This window comes from Homo sapiens, chromosome 4 (genome assembly GCF_000001405.40).
Source record: "Homo sapiens chromosome 4, GRCh38.p14 Primary Assembly".
Taxonomy (NCBI): domain Eukaryota; kingdom Metazoa; phylum Chordata; class Mammalia; order Primates; family Hominidae; genus Homo; species Homo sapiens.
This window is the reverse complement of record NC_000004.12, coordinates 105827678-105848113: the sequence shown is the minus strand read 5'-3', so window position 1 is coordinate 105848113 and position 20436 is coordinate 105827678. Positions and strand designations below refer to the sequence as shown.

At 37.8% G+C, this 20436-nt stretch overlaps 1 protein-coding gene and 1 long non-coding RNA gene across 9 annotated transcripts in view; one reads left to right on the top strand and one right to left on the bottom strand.

Moving 5' to 3' along the window:
- Window positions 1-388: 388 nt before the first annotated feature.
- GSTCD (glutathione S-transferase C-terminal domain containing) overlaps window positions 389-20436 on the bottom strand; it is a 138942-nt gene continuing 118894 nt past the window's right edge. For 7 of the 8 annotated variants that reach the window (XM_011532252.4, XM_047416179.1, NM_001370181.1 and 4 more), the window contains exons 9-12: window positions 13520-13653; window positions 10225-10255; window positions 5980-6049; window positions 389-2673 (exon numbers count right to left, since the gene is read on the bottom strand). In XM_011532252.4, coding sequence (XP_011530554.1) covers window positions 2537-2673; window positions 5980-6049; window positions 10225-10255; window positions 13520-13653 — 372 coding nt within the window. In that variant the 3' untranslated portion in view covers window positions 389-2536. Of the gene's footprint in view, window positions 2674-5979; window positions 6050-10224; window positions 10256-13519; window positions 13654-15072; window positions 15180-20436 lie in introns of those variants that run through there. The other variant, XR_938771.2, reaches the window with a different exon arrangement.
- On the top strand, window positions 6494-12320 carry LOC124900749 (uncharacterized). Its single transcript, XR_007058216.1, has 2 exons — window positions 6494-10718; window positions 11925-12320. It is a non-coding gene; the product is annotated as an uncharacterized LOC124900749 (long non-coding RNA).

The window sequence follows — 20436 nt, the reverse complement described above, 5'->3', positions numbered from 1 at the left end:
ATAAGTCAATTCTACGATTTATCTGGGGATACAATGGATCCAGACAGCCAAAATAATCTAGAGAATGAAAAATAAAATTGGGAGACAAACTACCTGATTTCCAGATTTACTATAAAGCTACAGCAATCAAAACAAACAGATTAATGGAAAAGACTAGAGAATTCAGAAATAGAACCATACATATAGATGAACTGATTTTCAACTGAGGTGCCAAGGCAGTTCAATGAAGAGAGGAAGGGATTTTTATTTAATGATGCTGAAACAACTATATATTCCTCAAAACCTACCTGCCTTTATATGTGAGTTTGATTTGAGATCGATCATAGACCTAAATGTAATAAGCTAGGATCATAAAGTTTCTACAAAAAAAATCTTAGGAGAAATCTTATAACCTCAGAGTTCGTAAAATTTATTAGAAAGAACACAGAAAATATTAATCATTAAAGTAAAAGGGTAAGTTAAATCTTCATCACAAGTAAAACATTCATTATGAAAATAAGTAGGTAAGCCACAGACTGGAAAAAATATTCTCAATGTGTTTACCTGACAATATTTAAGGGGAATATTCTATATCTGATTCCAGTGATGGTTACATGTATATATACAGTTGTCAAAACATCTCAAATGAATACTTAAAAATCTGTTATTGTATTGTATATAAATTAAACCTCACTTAAAAGAAGAAAGTCCACAATAAAAGAGCATGTTGTTTTCTATAGGCACAAATGACTAAAATACTCAGGGCTAATGATTAATTCTTTTTAAAAATTTTATCCCAGAAAACACGATTCCAATATGTCTCCCACCCCCACCCATACTGCCCTGTAAAATATTCCTATATTTTAATCCATAGTGATGATCAATGATAGTGCTTTCTCCTCATGATACATGTTACACAGGGGTTGAAAACATTAAAATAAATCTCAAATGGAATAAATTGGGACATGTAAAATTTAAAGAATTAGCAGCATTGAGAAAGGATGCATCATTTGTCTTTTAAAATGTTGGCTGGCAGAAAAAGAATTTAGGTAAGCTTCCATATTCTGCACTCCTCACACCACTAATAAGTTTTACCCAGAAATATATAAATAAAAATGATTGACATCTGAATAACAAATCCTGTGACAACACATTGTAGTATTCCATAAAGAACATGGCCAGGTGAGGTGGCTCACGCCTGTAATTTCAGCACTTTGGGAGGCTGAGGCGGGTAGATCACCTGAGGTCAGGAGTTCGAAACCAGCCTGGCCAACATGGAGAAACCCCATCTCTACTAAAATTACAAACAAAATTAGCCGGGCATGGTGGCAGGTGCCTATAATCCTAGCTACTCGGGAGGCTGAGGCAGGAGAATGCAGAGGTTGTGGTGAGCCAAGATCGAGCCACTGAATTCCAGCCTGGGCAACAAGAGTGAAACTCTGTCTCAAAAAAAAAAAAAAAAAAAAGCTTAACTAATTCTTTAATCTTTTTCTTCTAGATGATCTACTTCCATAGGCAAAACATTATGTCTTTTGCAACTCATCTTTGAATTGAAAAGAAACTAGGCCAAGGTCTTGAAAATACTGGATCCTCAATAATTACTTATAAACTTAAATGTATTAATCAATGTACTTATTGTTAAAATGTATGTCCAAATTCCACATTCCCGTAATAGGAAATTTATGGCAATTATTTAATAATTTGAACCAGTGACAATCTCATTTGGTAATTTATGGGAAATTTATTTATTTATTTATTTGTTTATTAATTCATTCATTGATTTATTTTGAGTCTGGGTCTCATTTTCCCAGGCAGGAGTGCAGTGGCGCTATCAAGGCTCACTGCAGCCTTGACTTCCTGGGCTCAAGTGATCCTCCCACCTCATTTTTTGGATTTTTTTGTAGTGCAGGCTGGTCTCGATATCCTGGGCTCAAATGATCCTCCCACCTTGGCCTCTCAAAGTGCTGGGATTATAGGCATGAGCCACCATGCCTGGCAGAAATATATTTAAAAGGAGTATATTAAATGCTATACAAGTTCAACTAACCCCAGCTTAAAAATAACTGTACTATAATTACCTGACTAGATTTTTTTAAAGTGATAGAAAAAGTACAATTGTTAAAAATATAAAAAACAAAAAACTCCACTGAGTCTACTTTCAGTTCCCATGTGAATATCTAAATAAGTATAAAATAAAGGCTGTAAGTGCGCTGTTTTGAATTAAACATCACATTGGCAAGATCAGAGGAGCTTGTGAAGTGAGAAGGAAATTGTTATTCCTGTGATGGAACCTCCACTAGTATTATTCTTTTGGCAGCTGAGACTTCAGGGGATTCTCACTATAAAAACCAGCAGTCCTTTAATCACACATTGTAAAGCATTTGTGATGCTTTGCAGGGAGCCTTTACTTCCAAGATTTCCCTGTTGCTTTCCTTCCTGAGCACAATAGGTTCAAGATGGCTAATGCTGTTTCCTAGTTATGCCAAGAACCTCCTGAATGCCACTGGGCATCCAACGTGAAGACGGATGGCAAAATATCAAATGTGAATATCTCATTTTAAATGGGGACTCCCACAATCATGTTATTTTTGGGAGAGCAGCTCTCTGGCTCCATGGATATCACTTGAACGGAGTATCCACATTCTTCTGCAGCTCTTGCTCGATCCAGATCCACCAAGCACATGCACTGTTTTCCTGAAACACAGTCAAATGGTATCATGAGACACCCTTTCACTAGCAGGACAGTTTCAGTTTGTTTAAGGGAATCTATATAGTGACAAAATCTGCAAGTACTATGGAGCATGCTTTGTACCCCTAAGTCTTGTTTAGTTTCTTTCAATTTACTTCTTGATCAATGTGGAAAGATGATGGTGACAAAAACATGGCACTTCATATATTTGCCTCTGCTAATAATTTAAAGAATGTTAACCTTTTCAGATGTATTTATAAGCAAATCTCAAATTAGAGCCTCAGACTGTATTTCCTACTTTGGTTAAAAATACATTTAAAGACCTTTTCTCTGCTTTCCCTATAAAACTAGATTATCTGTAATGTGGAAAAAAAATTTGTCTTTAAGAATATTTAAAATAACATGCTGATTAAGTGGTGTCTGAAAGACATTAGCTTTTCCAGCTGAAGTTTTTTAGGGCTATGAAGAAGTGAGAAATGAAAAATATTTAAGAAAATTCTCAATTACATGCCTTTTATTTCAGGTGGAAATGTAATGTTGAGTGTAGTATACTCTTAATTTTCTGAGCTCCTGTCCCTCTACAAAATAGTGGTATTGTATTTCATTTACAATCTTTGGAAGACAAAAAAGGAAACCTGACTGGCAAGAAAAGCAGTTAATTTGTTTTCCTTTGGCAAACACAAACTTCAAAAGTAGCTTGGGAAAAATGATTTGGGGCTGAATATATTCAAAGCCATGATTTACTTTTATACTTTCAATTGCTTTAAATTCAATATATAAGCTTCTTCAACCCCCTGGAAAAAGATTACTGACTATGCAGAACTTCATTATATTTTTCCTAAACAATTATAATAATGGCTAAACATTGAATGACAGTGGAAACTGATAAACTAAAACAACTTCAGAAATGAAGACAGATCACCAAAATAGAAAAGTTCTATGAACAACAGAATCCTCACAGAAAAAAACAGTGGAAGGTGAAATCAGTAGGTAAGAATTAGCAATGAGAGACTCACATTTAAAATGTTTATTTTGTACATTTTCCTTAAAAGAGCCCATCCCACAAAGAATAAACTGGGTTAGAAATGATATAAAAAGAGATGTCCAGAATTCCATTTAGGCAAAATCATCCCTTCTTCATTAACAGCCTTATGGCCGACATTCTTTTTTTTCCCTTAAAATATTGTCTTTCCTTTAAGACATCTGTAAATGTTTCTCCCATCTACTTTTTAGCTTAAAATGAAACATTCTGTGTCAGAATGGGATGCTCTACATTCCTTAAGTACCCACCCAGGGTTTACATTGAGCTCATCTACCCTTGGCTTTGATCCCAGTCCAGTTAATTTTTCCTTTTCCATTATGTAGAAGAATTTCATGTTTTCACATGTTGAAGTGTCTCTACAACTGAAATTTAGCTGCTGATAGTCTACCTTTGTGGGCCTGGGGAGGAATGGCCTGTGTAAAGCAGAGATGTAGACGTGACAGCTTTCTCTCAATGTGATTCCCCCCGTTCTTCCCATTGCCAAATGCCCACCCCCACCCCCACCACTCTAGCAACTTCCCTGCCAGATACTCCCCTTTAGTTTGATACCTAAAACACACATCTACCATGTACCCATCCATCCACCATACTAATTATGTCTTCATTGGATTGCTATCATTTGAATGTGTCCTCCAGAAAGCATGTGTTGGAAACTGAATCTGCAATGCAACAGTGTTAGGAAGTGGGGCCTAATGTGAGGTCATTAGGCCAAGAGGGTGGAGTGAATGAATTAATACCATTATCATGGTAGTGGGTTCATTATCTAGAGTGTGGGTTCCTTATAAAAGGACAAGTTCAGCCTTCTCTTGCTCTCTCTCTTGCCATGTGATGCCTTTCATCATGTTATGATGCAGGAAGAAGACCCTCACCAGATGCCAGCCCCTTGATCTTGGACTTCCTAGCCTTCAGAAATGTGAGCCAAATAAAAATTTGTTCATTATGAATTACCCAGTCTATGGTATTGTGTTATAGCAGTGCAAAACAGACTAAGACATGGGTCTAGTGAGTGGAGTCTCATCAAATGTGTATTTGATTAATTCAAAGTGTTGGAGATGGGAAAAGGAGGAGCAAGAAGGAAAGGCATTGAAAGACAAAGAGGTTGCAGGCAAGAGAGAATGAGTTCTTTCCAAATGTTTATGCTGCAGAGAGTGAGAAAGAGAAGGAATCACTTACTCCTTGAGTCTCAGGTCTCAGGTCTCCAAGTGTGAGCATCTTGCTATGCTGCCTTTGATTTTAGAGTTTAAAGATAAGGATTTCTCATACGACTTGGTCTCTGAATGTAAGCTAACAGCTTCATCTGGTGCTCAGCCAAAGAAACAACAATCTGTTTTCTAGTATATCATGGAGGAAAAGGGGCTACATTGTAAATTTAGAGAAAAAATATAATGGTGTCCAATGTTGGGTTTCTCTGAATAATTTTAAGATTAGTTTTGACTGAACCCACTTATCTTAAACCCTGATATGACACCAGTATGCTGGGAAGCAGTAACTAAGGTGGACAAGAACTTCATGTCCAGAATCAAATAAGTTGGGTTCATAGTATAGCTCCATCATCTACCAGATGAGGGACCCCAGGAAAGCTTTTGTCTCAGTTTTCTTATCATTAAAATGTAAATAATAGTACCTACCCCATATGTATATTTGTAAGAATTTACCAAGATAACAGTCAAGAGCATTTAGCTCAGTGCTTAAATGTATAACTATTAACTGCTATTATTCTTTTAAATGTGATTGTTTTTTCTAAAGTGATGTCTTCAATAAATCAATTACTTATTAAACTTGAAATGTTTCTGTGGTCTTCCAATTTAGGTAATATTTAATATTGTCAAACAAATTCATCTATGATAAATAATACACAAGTATCCTTTTTCCTGAGAAAGAAAACATTATCATCCCTGTGTATACATTTTATAATGCATCAATTTTGGTATATATAGTTGACTTTTTAATCTTTATTATTTTCTTTTATGGCTTTTGATAGATCTTGCAGTTTGTTCATAACAGTAAGAGATTTAATGTAAGAATTCTACTCAATGTACAAACATTCAAAATACATTTAAAAGTATTAAAGTTAACCAAAATAGGATAAAATGTTATAGTTACAATACCCTTTTCAATATGAATTAAGTTTTTTTGGGAAGAACATATTTAGTTTCTCATTGAAAAATAGACTTCATGTTGCTAAATTTTTCCCATATAGACTTGGTCCAATCATTCCCAGTCATATTGTGCATAATACACTCAACAGCTGCTCTGTGAAAACACATACCTATGAGCCTTCGTTGGGGTGGGAGCTGGACAGCTGTCTGGTCTGCAAATCTGCACAGAATCATGTGTTCCTAAAAGAAAAAGCAATAGAATGTGGGTTTATTTTTATCTTCTGCTTCAAAGTTATAAAAACAACCACCAAAAAAACTACCTCATTTTTCTGGAGTTCAACATTGTTTAACTGAATAAAGTACTGCACAAATAGTATTTTTGAAAAAAGTAAACTTTCAGAAGATGGTACTTAATAATTTCTTCCCTTCAAGTACACTGTATTTTTTTGTTTTGTTTTGAGACAGTCTCGCCGTCGCCCAGGCTGGAGTGCAGTGGCGCAATCTTGGCTCACTGCAACCTTCGTCTCCCAGACTCCCAGTGATTCTCATGCCTCAGCCTCCGTGTAGTTGGGACTACAGGCACATGCCACCACATCTGGCTAATTTTTTGTATTTTTTGTATTTTTTTTTCAATAGAAACGGGGTTTCACCATGTTGGCCAGGCTGGTCTCGGACTCCTGGCCTTAGGTGATCTGCCCACCTCAGCCTTCCAAAGTCCTGTGATTAACAGGTATGAGCCACCATGCCCAGCTGGCCCAGATGTAGCTCTTAAGAATAGATGCACAGAAAATCCTCGGGGTCATTTTGCCCAGTTGCTTTTAGCTGAAATATAAAAATATGGTTACATTTTGCTATTATGTGTTAAATTAAAAGACCAAAAATTCACTTATATTTTTCTTTTATAAAATGTATTTGAAACTCTGGAATGTGGTTCTAGGCAGTCTTGCTAAGTGGGTTTTCTTTTCTTTCTTTTTTTTTTTTGAGACGGAGTTTTGCTCTGTTGTCCAGGCTCCAGTGCAGTGGCACAATCTCGGCTCACTGCAACCTCCGCCTCCTGGGTTCAAGCAATACTCCTGCCCTAGCCTCCTGAGTAGCTGGCACTACAGGCGCACGCCACCATGCTGGCTAATTTTTGTATTTATTTATTTTTTTTAGTAGAGACAGGGTTTCACCATGTTGGCCAGGCTGGTTTCGAACTCCTGACCTTGTGATCTGCCCGCCTCTGCCTCCCAAAGTGCTGGGATTACAGGCATGAGGTACCGTGCCTGGCCTGCTAAGTGGCTTTTCATTCTATCAGAGGAAAAGGAAGCAATGCAGATCACTGTGTGGCTTCTGTAGTTTTCTGGGATATCCAGCAGGGTGGTAGCTAGTTCTTGGCTTTTCCTGACTCTTCCCTTCACTTAGTCCTTTTAGAGGAAAGAAGCTTGATTTCTTTCTCTCACTCCAAAAGGCTGCAGGAAGTGTATCCCTTTCTGCCTTAAGACAAACTGTAAAGACGGCCTGAGGTAAGGACCTGATTATTACTTCTGCTTAACAGTCTTAGAAAAGAGTGCATTAATGAAAAAGAAAAGAAGGCTTTAAAAGCAGAGTTGATGATTTTGCACAGTACTCTTAAATCTGCATGTAGCCAAAAGTGAGTGATTAGGCAGAGTTGAAATGAAGCAATGATCCCACGACAACTGTTCATTCAGAACAGCTGTTGTTTCTAAGTGTGTACATAATCTCACCTGTCAGCTTAGCAAACAGGTTAAATTCAGATTCATCATTTGTTCCTTTAGTATTCTGTACATTAAATTTGAAGCCTCCATTTTTAATAAGTGAAATGATTGTGGCAATGTTGGTTTTTTAAAAGGGATATCTTTGTCTAAACTTGTATGCTTAAAAAAAACATTTTAATGCTCACTATAAAATTTCATGACAATGGGTGAGAAACTAATAAAATGGTTTCAATGAATAACTTTAACTCCCCACAAACTAACAGGCATCAACGAAAGGAGAGAAGGAAAATTTAGAATTACATGATTTGAAGAAACAGTGTGCACTTTGTCCTCATGGTGTTTGTAAATTAAGATTCATTTTATATAATGGTAATGTCAAGGCAATCGCAATCTCAGGTAAGATTCAGTTCTCTTGTACTGATAAGTCTCACCATATTTTATTGGAATTATTTGTGTGTATGTTCTCTTTGGTCAAAATCAAGTTCTGAAAGGGCAAGGCACATGGTAGGTACTCAGTAAAGGTTGCTGTCTAAATTGAACTGCAGAGAAAAACACTTCCAAAGTGAGTCTCAAGATACTTTGGCACAAAGTTCTGAGGCCTTCAAAAGGCCAAGCAGCTTTTGGGGGTGTTGGAGAAAGAGTAGATAAAGGTTATGACTGGTGTACTGGGGAGTTTCTGCTTTCTGAAAGACTCTGTGTGCCCTGTCCCTACTGTAGAAATTTTACATTCTTTTCTAGCCAGGAGACCATGGGCAGCCTATCTCTTCACCACCCTTGATTTTTTCCATACATCCTTTCATTGTTTGGTTTAACTAGCATCACTCAAAGGAGGGATTAGAAACAGGGGTCTAGTTTTTGTTTTCCCAAGTTCTTTTTTCTTTTCTTTCCTTTTCCTTTCTTTTCTTCTCCTCTCTTTCTTCTCTCCTCTCTCTCTCTCTCTTTTCTTGAGACAGAGTATCACTCTCTCACCCGGGCTGAAATGGGAATGCAATGGCACAATCTCAGCTCACTGCAACCTCTGCCTCCTGATCTCAATCAATTCTCGTGCTTCAGCCTCCTGAGTAATTGAGATTACAGGTGTGTGTCACCACACCCAGCTAATTTTTGTATTTTTAGTAGAAACAGGGTTTCACCATGTTGGTCAGGCTGGTCTTGAACTCTGTTCTCAAGTGATCTGCCTGCCTTGGCCTCCCAAAGTGCTGGGTTTACAGGCGTGAGCCACTGCACCTGGGCTGTTTTCTCAATTTATTTTCTACTTTATTGACATAGCCTTGTGAAAGAAAGGTGAGATGTTTTGAATGTTATGCAAATAAAGTTTCTTGGGTCCTAATGTTTCTTCCAAAATCATACAGTTTCCTAAAATATGTAAACTTTTAATCTAGTAGGTGAAGGCCAGCAATGTTGTGGTTTTGGCTGAAAGCATGAACACTAAAAGTTCTCCCCTTTCCATATCTGTGCATATTTGTACAGGGTGCGGGGTTGGTAGGAAGAGGGGAAGGTGTGAGTAGCACATAAGGTGGTAAGAGACAGAGCTGGAAGTGGGCATTTGAGTTATAAAGCAGGAATGAAGGAGATACAGCTGCTGATGTGGTAACAATGAACATTTTTAGGTCACTATACCTCACTATATTTCAACTGTTTGATGGAAGAGAAAGTAAAAGTCCTAAAATATAGGGGCTGGTATATAAAAGGAGACTATGTTTTTAGTGAGTCTGTGCAAAAAGTGGCATTAACTAAGAATCCAAATGAATTTGTCAACTTCTAATGGAATTATTTATATATTTTTCTCAAATATTATCATTTCTTAAATTGTATTATATCATGCTATTGACCAGTTAATTGGATAGTGGTGATGTTTAGGAAGCTAGAAACTGTTTTGATCAGATTGGTGACTAAAAACTATGTATGTTCTGACTACTTTTGGAAGACAATTCTCTGTGGGTCTCTTGTGTTTCTTCATGTTTTACAAGCAGAGACACTGACTGTCTTTGTTCCAGACCAATGGTCAGCAAGGTTTGGCCCACAGGCCAAGTCTAGCCTATGACCAGTTTTTGTGTGGCTTGTGAATTAAGAAAGTTTTTATATATTTAAAGAGTTGTAAACCAACAACAAAAACAATAAGAATGTCAAGGACAATGAGAGGAATACTTGGAGATTTGTTATGGCCAGCATAGCCTAAAATATTTACTATCTGACCTTTTACAAAAGAATTTTCCTCTGTTATAGATTATCTTTTCAAGCACGTTTACAGAGTAAACAGCCTTGGAAAATATATAGTTTCTCCCTCTGGAACAAAAGGGCAGGTGTTACCTGGCCCATTTGCTTCTGCCCTGTGGGAATTGGGCCATAGAGAGTCAGTGTGAAAACAATGGTATTGTGGCTACCACTATTGCCATGAGCAACAAACTGTCTTTTGTCTCTGACTTAGGGGTCTCATATCTTCTGCCAGCATCCACTGGGCAGGCTAACTTGTTAGACTGCAAGTAGAGTTAAAATCTCAGACCCTTCACAAATCTTGTTACCTACTTGAAGAGTTAATCTGGATTTGCAAAAGAAAGAGAAAAAGAAACCCATATTAGACATTCATGAGTTATTCAATTATAACTATAGATTATTTACTCCACTAGAAATATGAGAGGGAAAAATATAAAGGATAAAAAGTGTATTAGGATGATATCTAGATCTTTTTAAGGTTACCTTGTATGATAAAGTTTTCTTGAATTGTTCACTGAAATAGAAAAAAAAGGAATTAGTCATCATTCTAAATATTAAGAGTAAGATAATCTTGAAGAAACTAAATTATATAAAAATATGCTTTGTATGTAGAAAGCATAAAATGCTATGGTGAAGTAAAAACTATGCCAGTTTGAAATGCTTTTATAAAAAGACAGAAAAGCATATCATCAATATGTTATTAATTTTAAGAAATCTATTCCACAGATTGTTTACACTGTTAGAGAAGCACCTTTTTTGTCTCTATCCCTCATGGGAACACTAAGATCCAGGTGTTTTAACATGTGGGTTTTACTGTTATTCAGATGTGCACAGCCAACAGATCAGGAGAGGACTGCCATTGAAAAGATACTTTATTACTCACAGTTCCCCAAGAAGAGGGGGCATGCCATGTGATGAAGGGCCACATGGGGAAACACCAGTATAGGTCAGGAGGCGGTTTCCATGGGAAGAAAAAGGTGAGGTAAGCAGGCTTGGGAGTGGCTAGTTTGAATAATTTCAGTGAACTCAGGCATAGGGCCGTTCCTACTTGTTTGATATCTGGCCCTAGGGTAGTAGGGCAGGGGGATAGTGGCCTGGAAGTAATAAGAGCTTGATAAAGGAGGTAGTTGTGGGATAAGGGCTCTGGGTTGGTGAGTTTACTTATGCAAGGTATGTTTGTTGATAAGACCTTTACTATCTCTAGGAATTGGCTAGCCCTGGGAGGAACAGTCTCTCCAGGATTAGCAAATAGTAAAACATCAGAAAATTTAAAAAGGCATGATTAATACATCAGGAAATCACTGTTGTCACAGCTAATAAAGATAAACATACATTCAATTCCATAAACATTGTCTTTTATTAATGCTATAACCTTCACTCTTAAGTCATTCAAAAACATTGACTTATACATTTGATACTAAATTTATTAGTGCCAATTAGTTTGTTTGAAAAGAGTACTTCTTTCCACGTACTATAGAAACAGTATGCTATTTATAAATTCCCAACTGTATTTTTGGTGATTGAGATAGGTCTTATTCACAAAGAAACTTTCTAAAGATATCAGTTCAAAGGACAAGGGAGGACAAATGTCAGTAAATCTACATAGGTGTGAAAAAGACAGGAAGTGGTAGTAACATACTGTAAAGGCCACCAAAAGTTGAGGCTGAGCCCAGGCACTGTGGTGACCTGGCCAGCTGTGTGTGCACTCAAGGTGGTGCTGACATGCCAGCCCCCACCCCCGCCTCAGCCCCCTCTGGACTTTGGGCACTGACGAGCATGAGATGGACACCAAGGGGGTACTGAGGGCAGCTTGACATGGGCCTGCAGGCACCCCTTGGCACAAACAGCCTGGGTGCCATGGGCACCATGGATGGCAGGTTGATGGCAACAGGAGGCAGACAGGCTCCTAGGTAGAAAGGGGCAGGTCCCTGGTGAAGCCCCACCATCAACCCAGAAATGGCCCGAAGCTTGGGGTCCAGGCTGCCAGCTCCGTGGACCAAAGTGAGAACTTAGAGTGCTTTTTCCAGGCCCACCCATGGCCACCCATGGACCAATCGCATGCACTTCCTTCCCTCTGGAGTCCATAAAAACCCCGGACTCTGCCAGACTTAGGCAGACAATGGATGACCTGCCTGCGGAGAGAAGCTACCCACTCTGTATCTCTTCTTTGCTGAGGGTTGCAGAGATGAGATGAGATGAGATGACCTGCCTGAAGACAGCAGCTACCCACTGCAGGTCTCCTTCCACCTGAGAGCTGAGTAGATATTGGGATGACCTGCCTGCGGAAAGAAGCTACCCACTCTGGATCTCTTCTCTGCTGAGGGTTGCAGAGATGAGATGAGATGAGATGACCTGCCTGAAGACAGCAGCTACCCACTGCGGGTCTCCTTCCACCTGAGAGCTGAGTAGACATTGGGATGACCTGCCTATGGAGAGAAGCTACCCTCTGTGGGTCTCCTCTCGGCTGAGAGCTGAGCAGACATTGGGATGACTGTCTGTGGAGAGGAGCTACCCACTTTATCTCCTGAGAGCTGTACTGTTGCTCAATAAAGCACCTCTTTGCCTTGCTCATCCTCCAATTGTCTGTGTACCTCATTCTTCCTCGATTTGGGACAAGAACTCAGGACCTGCCAAATGGCAGGACTAAGAGTTATAACACAAACAGGGCTCACATGCCCCCCTGCCCCCAAATACACCCACTCGCCATGTTGCAAGCATGAGAAGGAGAGAAGAGAGAAGGAGAGAAGAGATGCGGCCCTTCAGGGAGCCCAGTCATAGGAGCTCCCTGAGCCAGGGCTGTGATACCCTCTGAGGGGTTCTGTGGCTCCTGGCGTTTCCAAGCTTCTGGTTGCCACTGTGTTCCCTAGTGCTCACAGTGGAAGCTGCTTGCAGTACACCTGGTCCAGCTGCAGCCTCGCAGGGAGCCAGCACCCAAGCTGGTGCCTGGAGATGCCTGCCCCACAGCAGCCAGCATGCCTGGCTGTGTGAAGTGGCCGGACCCTGTGCTTGCTCATTCATGTACCCCTCACCACTCTGTACCTGGCTCACCCTTGGCAGGTGTGGGATCTGTGCTGGTAGTGCAAGCCAAAAGCAGCCTGCCAGGCTGAGTGAGTGGAGTGAGCCCAATGGGCCCAAGCAAAACTCAGGCAAACGCTCCACCAACCACAGAGGATCCAGCTGGCAAAGCGACGCCCCAAGGATCCTGTGACATTGCTACCATTATTAGCAACAGTTCACATTTATTGAATACTTATTCTTGCCACTTCTAAAGGCTTTACACATATCATTAAATTTTCACAAAAACCTTGAGGTAGTTATTATCATAACCCTCATTTTGTAGACAAGAAAACTAAGGCAAAAAGATTTTAAGTAATTTGCCTTATAAAATGATAAGGAGCTAGTATTTTCCCCCAGGCACTATACTTCCAGGTCCTAAACACTTTACTATACTTGACTGCCTCTCATAGACATTATGTACGGTTACAGTTTTAAATTTATTCGGAAATACAGAGAGAAGTGCTAAAGCCAATAGACTTCTAGTTGCCTGTCTCCTGGATAGCCTTGCTTCTAAATTTCAGTAAAAACTGGATCCAGGGGAAAAATCAGGGACAAACATAAAGGAGTTCTTCTCTTCCTTATACAATTTACAAACAATATTTGGCATTGTGGAAAGAAGAAATGAGCCAAAAATTAAGTCATTGCAACTTTATATCAAACAAGTTTTGTGTCCTGGCTTATACCCATGTTGGTGTCTTATGTAGAACACTGAATTTCTCACCTTTTTGGAAAATTGAACTTTGAGGTGTTCTGAATGAAACCATAACAGCAAGGGCATGTGACGAAGGAAGCCCGTGTTTTGATACAGTGCTCAATCACCATGTCTGTTGCCACTCCACAAGCATGCAATGCTACCTACAAAATAAAACCAGGCCTTAGCACTAAGTTCCCTCTTAACTCACAGTGCAATTTTTATGCCTTTTAAATAGTTCTCATTTGGCCATACCAAAGGACCACTTAGCTACACATATCAATTAATTATGAAAACTAAGCAAGTTTGAAAGGTTGCAAATGGAATATTGCAAATAAAGCATAAGATTCATTCAACGGAAAATTTGATGCAATTTTAGTGTGGAAAAATTAACACAAGTGTTTATCTAAACTATAGCATCGTTCCAGGAACACTAGATTCGAAACAAGAATTTCGAGTCTATTACTCTGGTTGCCTATATAACCCTGAGCCACTTAAAATTTAGCTTCTTTGGGCCTTAATCTCTTCAACTATAAATGATGGTTAACAATATGACATGTCACAATGCTGTTGCAAAAATTAAATAAAAATGTATTTGAAAACACTTCCTCAAATGCCATATTAACATAATCTAATCAGGGCTGTATTAAAACTAACTGAATCATATCATGTAGTACCCTTTTAAGATGTTTTCACATAATAACAATCCTTAACATTGAATGATGAGTTACAGGAACTATTTTCAATGAGTTTATTTTAAAAGGATTGAATGAAATTATGAATTAGAATACTGAGTGGGGCTTCAATAACTCATAAAAATAACTCAAAACGATTTTTAAGTGTTTTTAAAACACATATCCTTAAGTATATCTATACTTACTATAATCTTACTACAAATGAGATAATTATGAAAATTCTTAGGCCAAATAAAGCCTAAATAGGACTCTCAGTGAAAATCAGATGTGGGGATTCTAAAAGATGAATAACCTGTACTGGATTTTGACAAAAAACACCAAAAAAACCCCTCACATCTCCATTTCATTCTGAACAAACATAAATTGTAATGAATTATAATCTTCCCTCACCAACTTCAGGGTAGGGAGGGGCTCTCAGGGTAAAGAGGAGATTTTCTGTAAATTTTAGAAACTTTTTTTTTTTTTTGAGACAGAGTTTTGCTCTTGTTGCCCAGGCTGGAGTGCAATGGCACAACCTCGGCTCACTGCAACCTCCGCCTCCCGGGTTCAAGCAATTCTTCTGCCTCAGCCTCCCGAGTAGCTGGGATTACAGCATGTGCCACCACGCCTGCATACTTTTGTATTTTTAGTAGAGATGGGGTTTCACCATGTTGGTCAGGCTGGTCTCCAACTCCCGACCGCAGGTGATCCGCCCACCTCGGCCTCCCAAAGTGCTGGGATTACAGGCATGAGCCACCGCGCCCAGCGAAAGTAAAATATTATAAACCAGATGCCCCCTTTGAACTGGAAAGCTAAAAACAATACAAACAATACTCTATCAGGAAGAGGAAAGCAAGATCTCTGTTCTTAATCCTCCTCCTGAATTCCTCCTCCTCCTTCTAGACTTACATGAGCCACATAGAAGTCAACAATCTCCATGTTGCTGTCATCCCACCTTTCTTGTTTCACTCTGAAAACAGCCTAGGAAGGCTGGTATCCAGTAAAGGCAGCAACAACTACAGGGAATGGGAAAGTAAATAACCTTGATTTCTCATCTGCTTCTTTTAGTCAGCTTTTCAGAGTAAAAAACAGGCTAATCCTTATTTTCATGACTAGTTGGAGAAAATTTCATAGTAAAAATTATAGACACATCTTCCCCTGGAGGGAAAGCAAACTGACATTTACTGAGTGTTTATGTGCTGGCACTATGCTGTGCTGGGTGATGGCACTCAGAACTATGCTCACAACATCCCTGAAAGACTTTATTATCTCCAATTTAGATGCGAGGAAATGAAGTCTTGGGAAATTAAGAACTTGCCCACAACAAAACAGCTACTGAGGGGCAGGATGCTGACCTCAAAGCCTGACCCCATGTATCAGGCGGCTTCTCTACAAAACCCTCTTCAGGCTCTGAGCAAAAAAGAGTTTAGAAAATTTACTTTTATAAGTCTCTCTTTACTTAGGTTCACATTCCTTACACTACATGCAAAAAAGTGAGTTTATTTCCTTCATTTAAATGAAATAAGTAACTTGAATAACTATACAATAGTTTATAGATAATGTAATAATTGTCTACTAATAATAGGTTTTTGGTCGAAAAGGTTTTACTGCATCACATGCTCCTAGTTTTCACTGTTATCAAATGAAACTCAGAAATAACAGGCAAATAATGAGAGATATAGACCAAAAAAAAACCATTGGATATGGAAATTTATCATACAATAAAGGTGGTATTTCAAACCAGGGAGAAAAGATGGACTTTTTAATAAGTAATGTTTGGTTAACCAGACAGCCATATAAAAAAATAAAAATTAGATCTTTTCCTCTCATCACACATAGGAAATAAATTTTGAATGCATTAGAGATTTAAAATGCAATAAATATGAGTAAATTCCTGCACAACCAAGGGGAATGGGAAGTAATTCCTAACTAAGCTAAAAATCTACGTGCAATAAGGGGTAAGGTTAATAAATCTGACAAAATAAAATTTATTTTTATTTATTTATTTATTTTTGAGATGCAGTTTCGCTCTTGTCACCCAGGGTGGAGTGCAACGGTGTGATCTCGACTCCCTGCAACCTCTGCCTCCAGGGTTCAAGCAATTCTCCTGCCTCAGCCTCCCAAGTAGCTGGGATTACAGCTGCCCACCACCACACCCAGCTAATTTTTGTATTTTCAGTAGAGACTGGCAGAAAACCAAACCATAAGTAAAAAGACAAATGACAAAGTAGGGAAAGGATTGACAACTTACAGCACAAACAAAAGGCTTATATTCTTAATATATAACAAACTTCTAAAAAGAAAGAAAAAGCCCAATAAAGTGAGAGTAAAATGAGCAAGAGATGTGAACACACAAACAAAAACAAGCAAAGAGTTCTTAAACAAAAATTGGTCAATATTGCTCCAAGTAAGAGAAATAATTGTTAATATTTTTTTTAACAAAGAGCCAAGATTTAATCTCAATGTGTCTGACTCCAAACCAAACTTCTTTTTTTAGTTCTCTATGCTCTATTTACTCTTTTCTTTAGATATGGAAGTAAACAGAGAGTCACTGACTGGACTTCTAGACCCAGCCCCCACATTAACTTGCTAGGTCACTCTTCCTTTCTTGTAGCCTCAAATTCTCTACCTGTAAAAGGAGAAGGTTGAACTGAATGATCTCTAAACTTGCCCCAGCCCAATCATTCTCTCCGGTGTTGCTTTTCGAAGAAGGATTCTTAACTCTAGATACCTTAGACAGAGAAGCAGGCTAGTCCCACCTGTGTACTCTTGTTTCCCCTCTTTTAAAACTTTCATACAACAATATTATAGGTAATCAGCTTTAAAATTCAAATAATGCTAAAAGGTATGCAATTATATTAAAAGTCCCTGTTTTGTACACACTGCCACACCACTGAAAGAAAATCTGTGTACCAAAGTCAATGCTGTTCAACTCATTGGTTTACTTCCTGAAAATCTGTTTTTCTATATGATGAACGTATATTGATATCTCTTGATTTGTAAATATTAGACATTATTTATTATCTTTCTACTAGGAGAGAAGAGCTTTTGGCCTTTTTTTTGCACATTTATACACTATCTTCCCTTTTTCCATCTTTTCTCATGGTTTTGTATATACTGTTCACTGCCGAGGGAAGTGTGCTGGATATCAGGGTTTCTGCTTGTTTTTTTAACATCCAAGTTGTTCCCTACCCAAAAGCTCTGTAAAATGCTCTACAATATAAATTTCCACTGTTTGAAAACTTTCAAATAATTGGTCAGCTCCATTTTTTCTTTCCTAGAGACATCTTTCCTGGGCTTTCTGACGTTTTACTAAAATATGGACTCAATGCTTTCTAGGCCTGTTGCCCAGCTCTTGCCCTAAGACTTCCCTCTCCCATGATACTAAAAATTTTTCTCTTGTATTGGATACCACTTAATCCTTTTTCTTATTTACTTTATATTTTAATGAAGCACATTATCTAGTAGCTTGCTGAAAAGGGGTATGTACAATGTACATTTTATTGAGACCTTGACTGTCGAATTTTTCTTTATTTTACTTTTTTTTACTAGACTGATGGATTAGCTAGGTATAGAATTTTAGATTAGAAGTTTTCTGTTAGAATTTTCGAGATATTGTTTCACTGTCACTGAGCCTTCCACACTACTATTAAGAAGTGTGATAGCATTTTGATTCTAAATTATGGTATATCACTATTTTTTTTTCCCTCTGTGGAAACAGTTGGGAAAATCTGTTCACCCTTGGTGTTCTGAAATTTCACAAGGTGCCTTGGCTTAGGCCATTTTGTAAGTTAACTTTATCAAAAGAAATGCATTCTTAATTATTAACACATTTTCCTGTATTTTCTTTGATGTTTTCCTCCCCACGATTTACCAGTTTTCTTTTTCTGGTCCTGCTATTACTGAGGTATTTGATTCCTGGACTAAATCTCTAATTTAAAAAATTTGCTTCTTTCCAGTTTCATTTTTCTTTTTCTTTTTTTTAAGTTCTATTTTTTTCAAGTGGTATCCTATACTTCTTTAAAAAAATACTTTATCTCTTAATTTTTAATTTGTTTTCAATTTTGGCTAACATTTTTATTTTTCAAGACGTCCTTTCTTGTTCTCTGATCGTTCCCTCTTTTTCTATTATATCCTTGTTTCACTAATGTATTATCTTCTTTAGTCTCTCCCTAAGACCCTTGATTATGTTTGTTGCTTTGGTCTTGATATGGTTTGACTATGTCCCTACCCAAATCTCATCTTGAATTGTAGCTCCCATATTTCCCACATGTCATGGAAGGGACCCAGTGGGAGGTAACTGTATGATGGGGGTGGGTCTTTCCCATGCTGTTCTCATGATAGTGAATAAGTCCCATGAAATCTGATCGTTTTATAAAGGGGAGTTTCCCTGCACACACTCTTGCCTGCCACCATGTAAGATGTGACTTTGCTCCTCATTCGCCTTCCTCCATGATTGTGAGGCCTCCCTAGCCATGTGGAACTGTGAATCAATTAAACCTCTTTTCTTTATAAATTACCCAGTCTTGGGTATGTCTTTATTAGCAGTGTGAGAACAGACTAATACAGGTCTCTATCTTCCATTTTGGAAGTTTTCCATGTTTGGTATTCCTTTAGCTGTTCATATTAAAGAGTAAACCACTAAAAAGTTGATTGGAAATTCTGAATGAAAGAGTAAGGCTTTGAAAACTGGTGGGCTTCACCAGTGATTGGGTGATCAAAAAGCCTGGATAGGTGCCTTTCTTTTTTTTTTTTTTTTTTTTAATTATAGCTGTAGTATCTGTAGTTCTTTTCTCTGGGGACAGTTCTGCTTCTACAGAGAAGAATCTTTTAATTCTCATGATTGTGGAAATGATCCTGGTTTCTGTGGTTCTGGAATTAGAAGGCAGATGGGTAGGGAAGAGATCTATCCTTCAGTATGCAGATTCTCATTTAGTTCTTATTCTTGGTATGGCACATCACCATTGCCCTTCTCTATGCCTGATATCTCTATACTTGGTGCCTCTCTGGTTCAGTTTCTTCTACAGAATAAACTTCCTGTCTCTCTTAGGAGTTGGGGAGAGGTAGTTTCTTGTTTACACAAGACGAGAGCAGGAATCTTGTCTCTAAATAATATTTTTAATTAAACACGATTTCAGTCCCTCCCTATTCATTTCCTCTGAGGTTTCTGATGCTCTGAATTCCCAAACTTTTCTGGGATTCTGTGGGAGCAAAGTGGTTTGTGTCCTGATAGCCTTCTTGCCACTCTGCCTGGCATGCATTTAAATTTTATCTTCCTTCTCCTCTACTCAATAACTTATCATTTTTCTTCAATCTGCTTTTCACCTTCACACTTCATATTGTGATTCAAGTTACAGAATGTTGAATATAGCTTCATCATAGAGTTTGATTTTTCTGATTCTTGTTCTTGTTATTTGGGGATCTGAACTTTTTTGGGGAGAAGCGGGGTTGAAATACCTCTATCTGCTATTTTCATCTCAGAAGTCCCCTATTTTGCCTTAATGATTTTTAAAAAGCGTGCCTGCAGAATATATAATTTCTCAAGGTCCTTATCTTTTAAAACAAGGATTATATAATTACTCATCAAAAATGTTACTGAATTACAGTCTATAATTACACATGCTTCTTTTAATTGTACACTAACATACATACATAAATAGAAATGAGCTTATAATTAACTAGTCAGCACTTATGAGTGATAAACAATAATTAAAAATTATGTTGTGGGCAAAATAGCAAAAAGCAAATACCAATAACTAGAAAATAAAACTGTTTTGAGATTTTCATATACATGTTGATGAACAGAAAGGATTCGCCAATACTGTTAGAAATCAGTACCTTATCATCTGGTTGAAATGACTGTTTGTTATTGTTGAAATTTTCCAACTAAACATGTTGGTGGCAGGCTGTTTAGCCTTGATACGGTTTTTGTTTTTAATGCAAAATGAGCATTTTTCCATAGTCATGACCCTTTATGTAATACTATTTGCAAATAAATATTTGTAATATTGTTTGAGAGCATGGGTATTAATACACATATTATAAAATTTAATAATTTAAAAAGACTTAGTTGTTTCTAAGTCTTTTAAAATTCTTTCATTAAAATCTTGTTTATACTATTAATTTTTATATCTAAAGAAAAATAGTAAATGAAAAAAATAAAGCATTTACTAAGCAAAGATAAATGCTAACTAAGCCCTTATTGAAATGTCACAAAACCATGAATTTATGCAGTTTTAATGCATTTCCAATATCTGGTTATTCTGCTTTCCT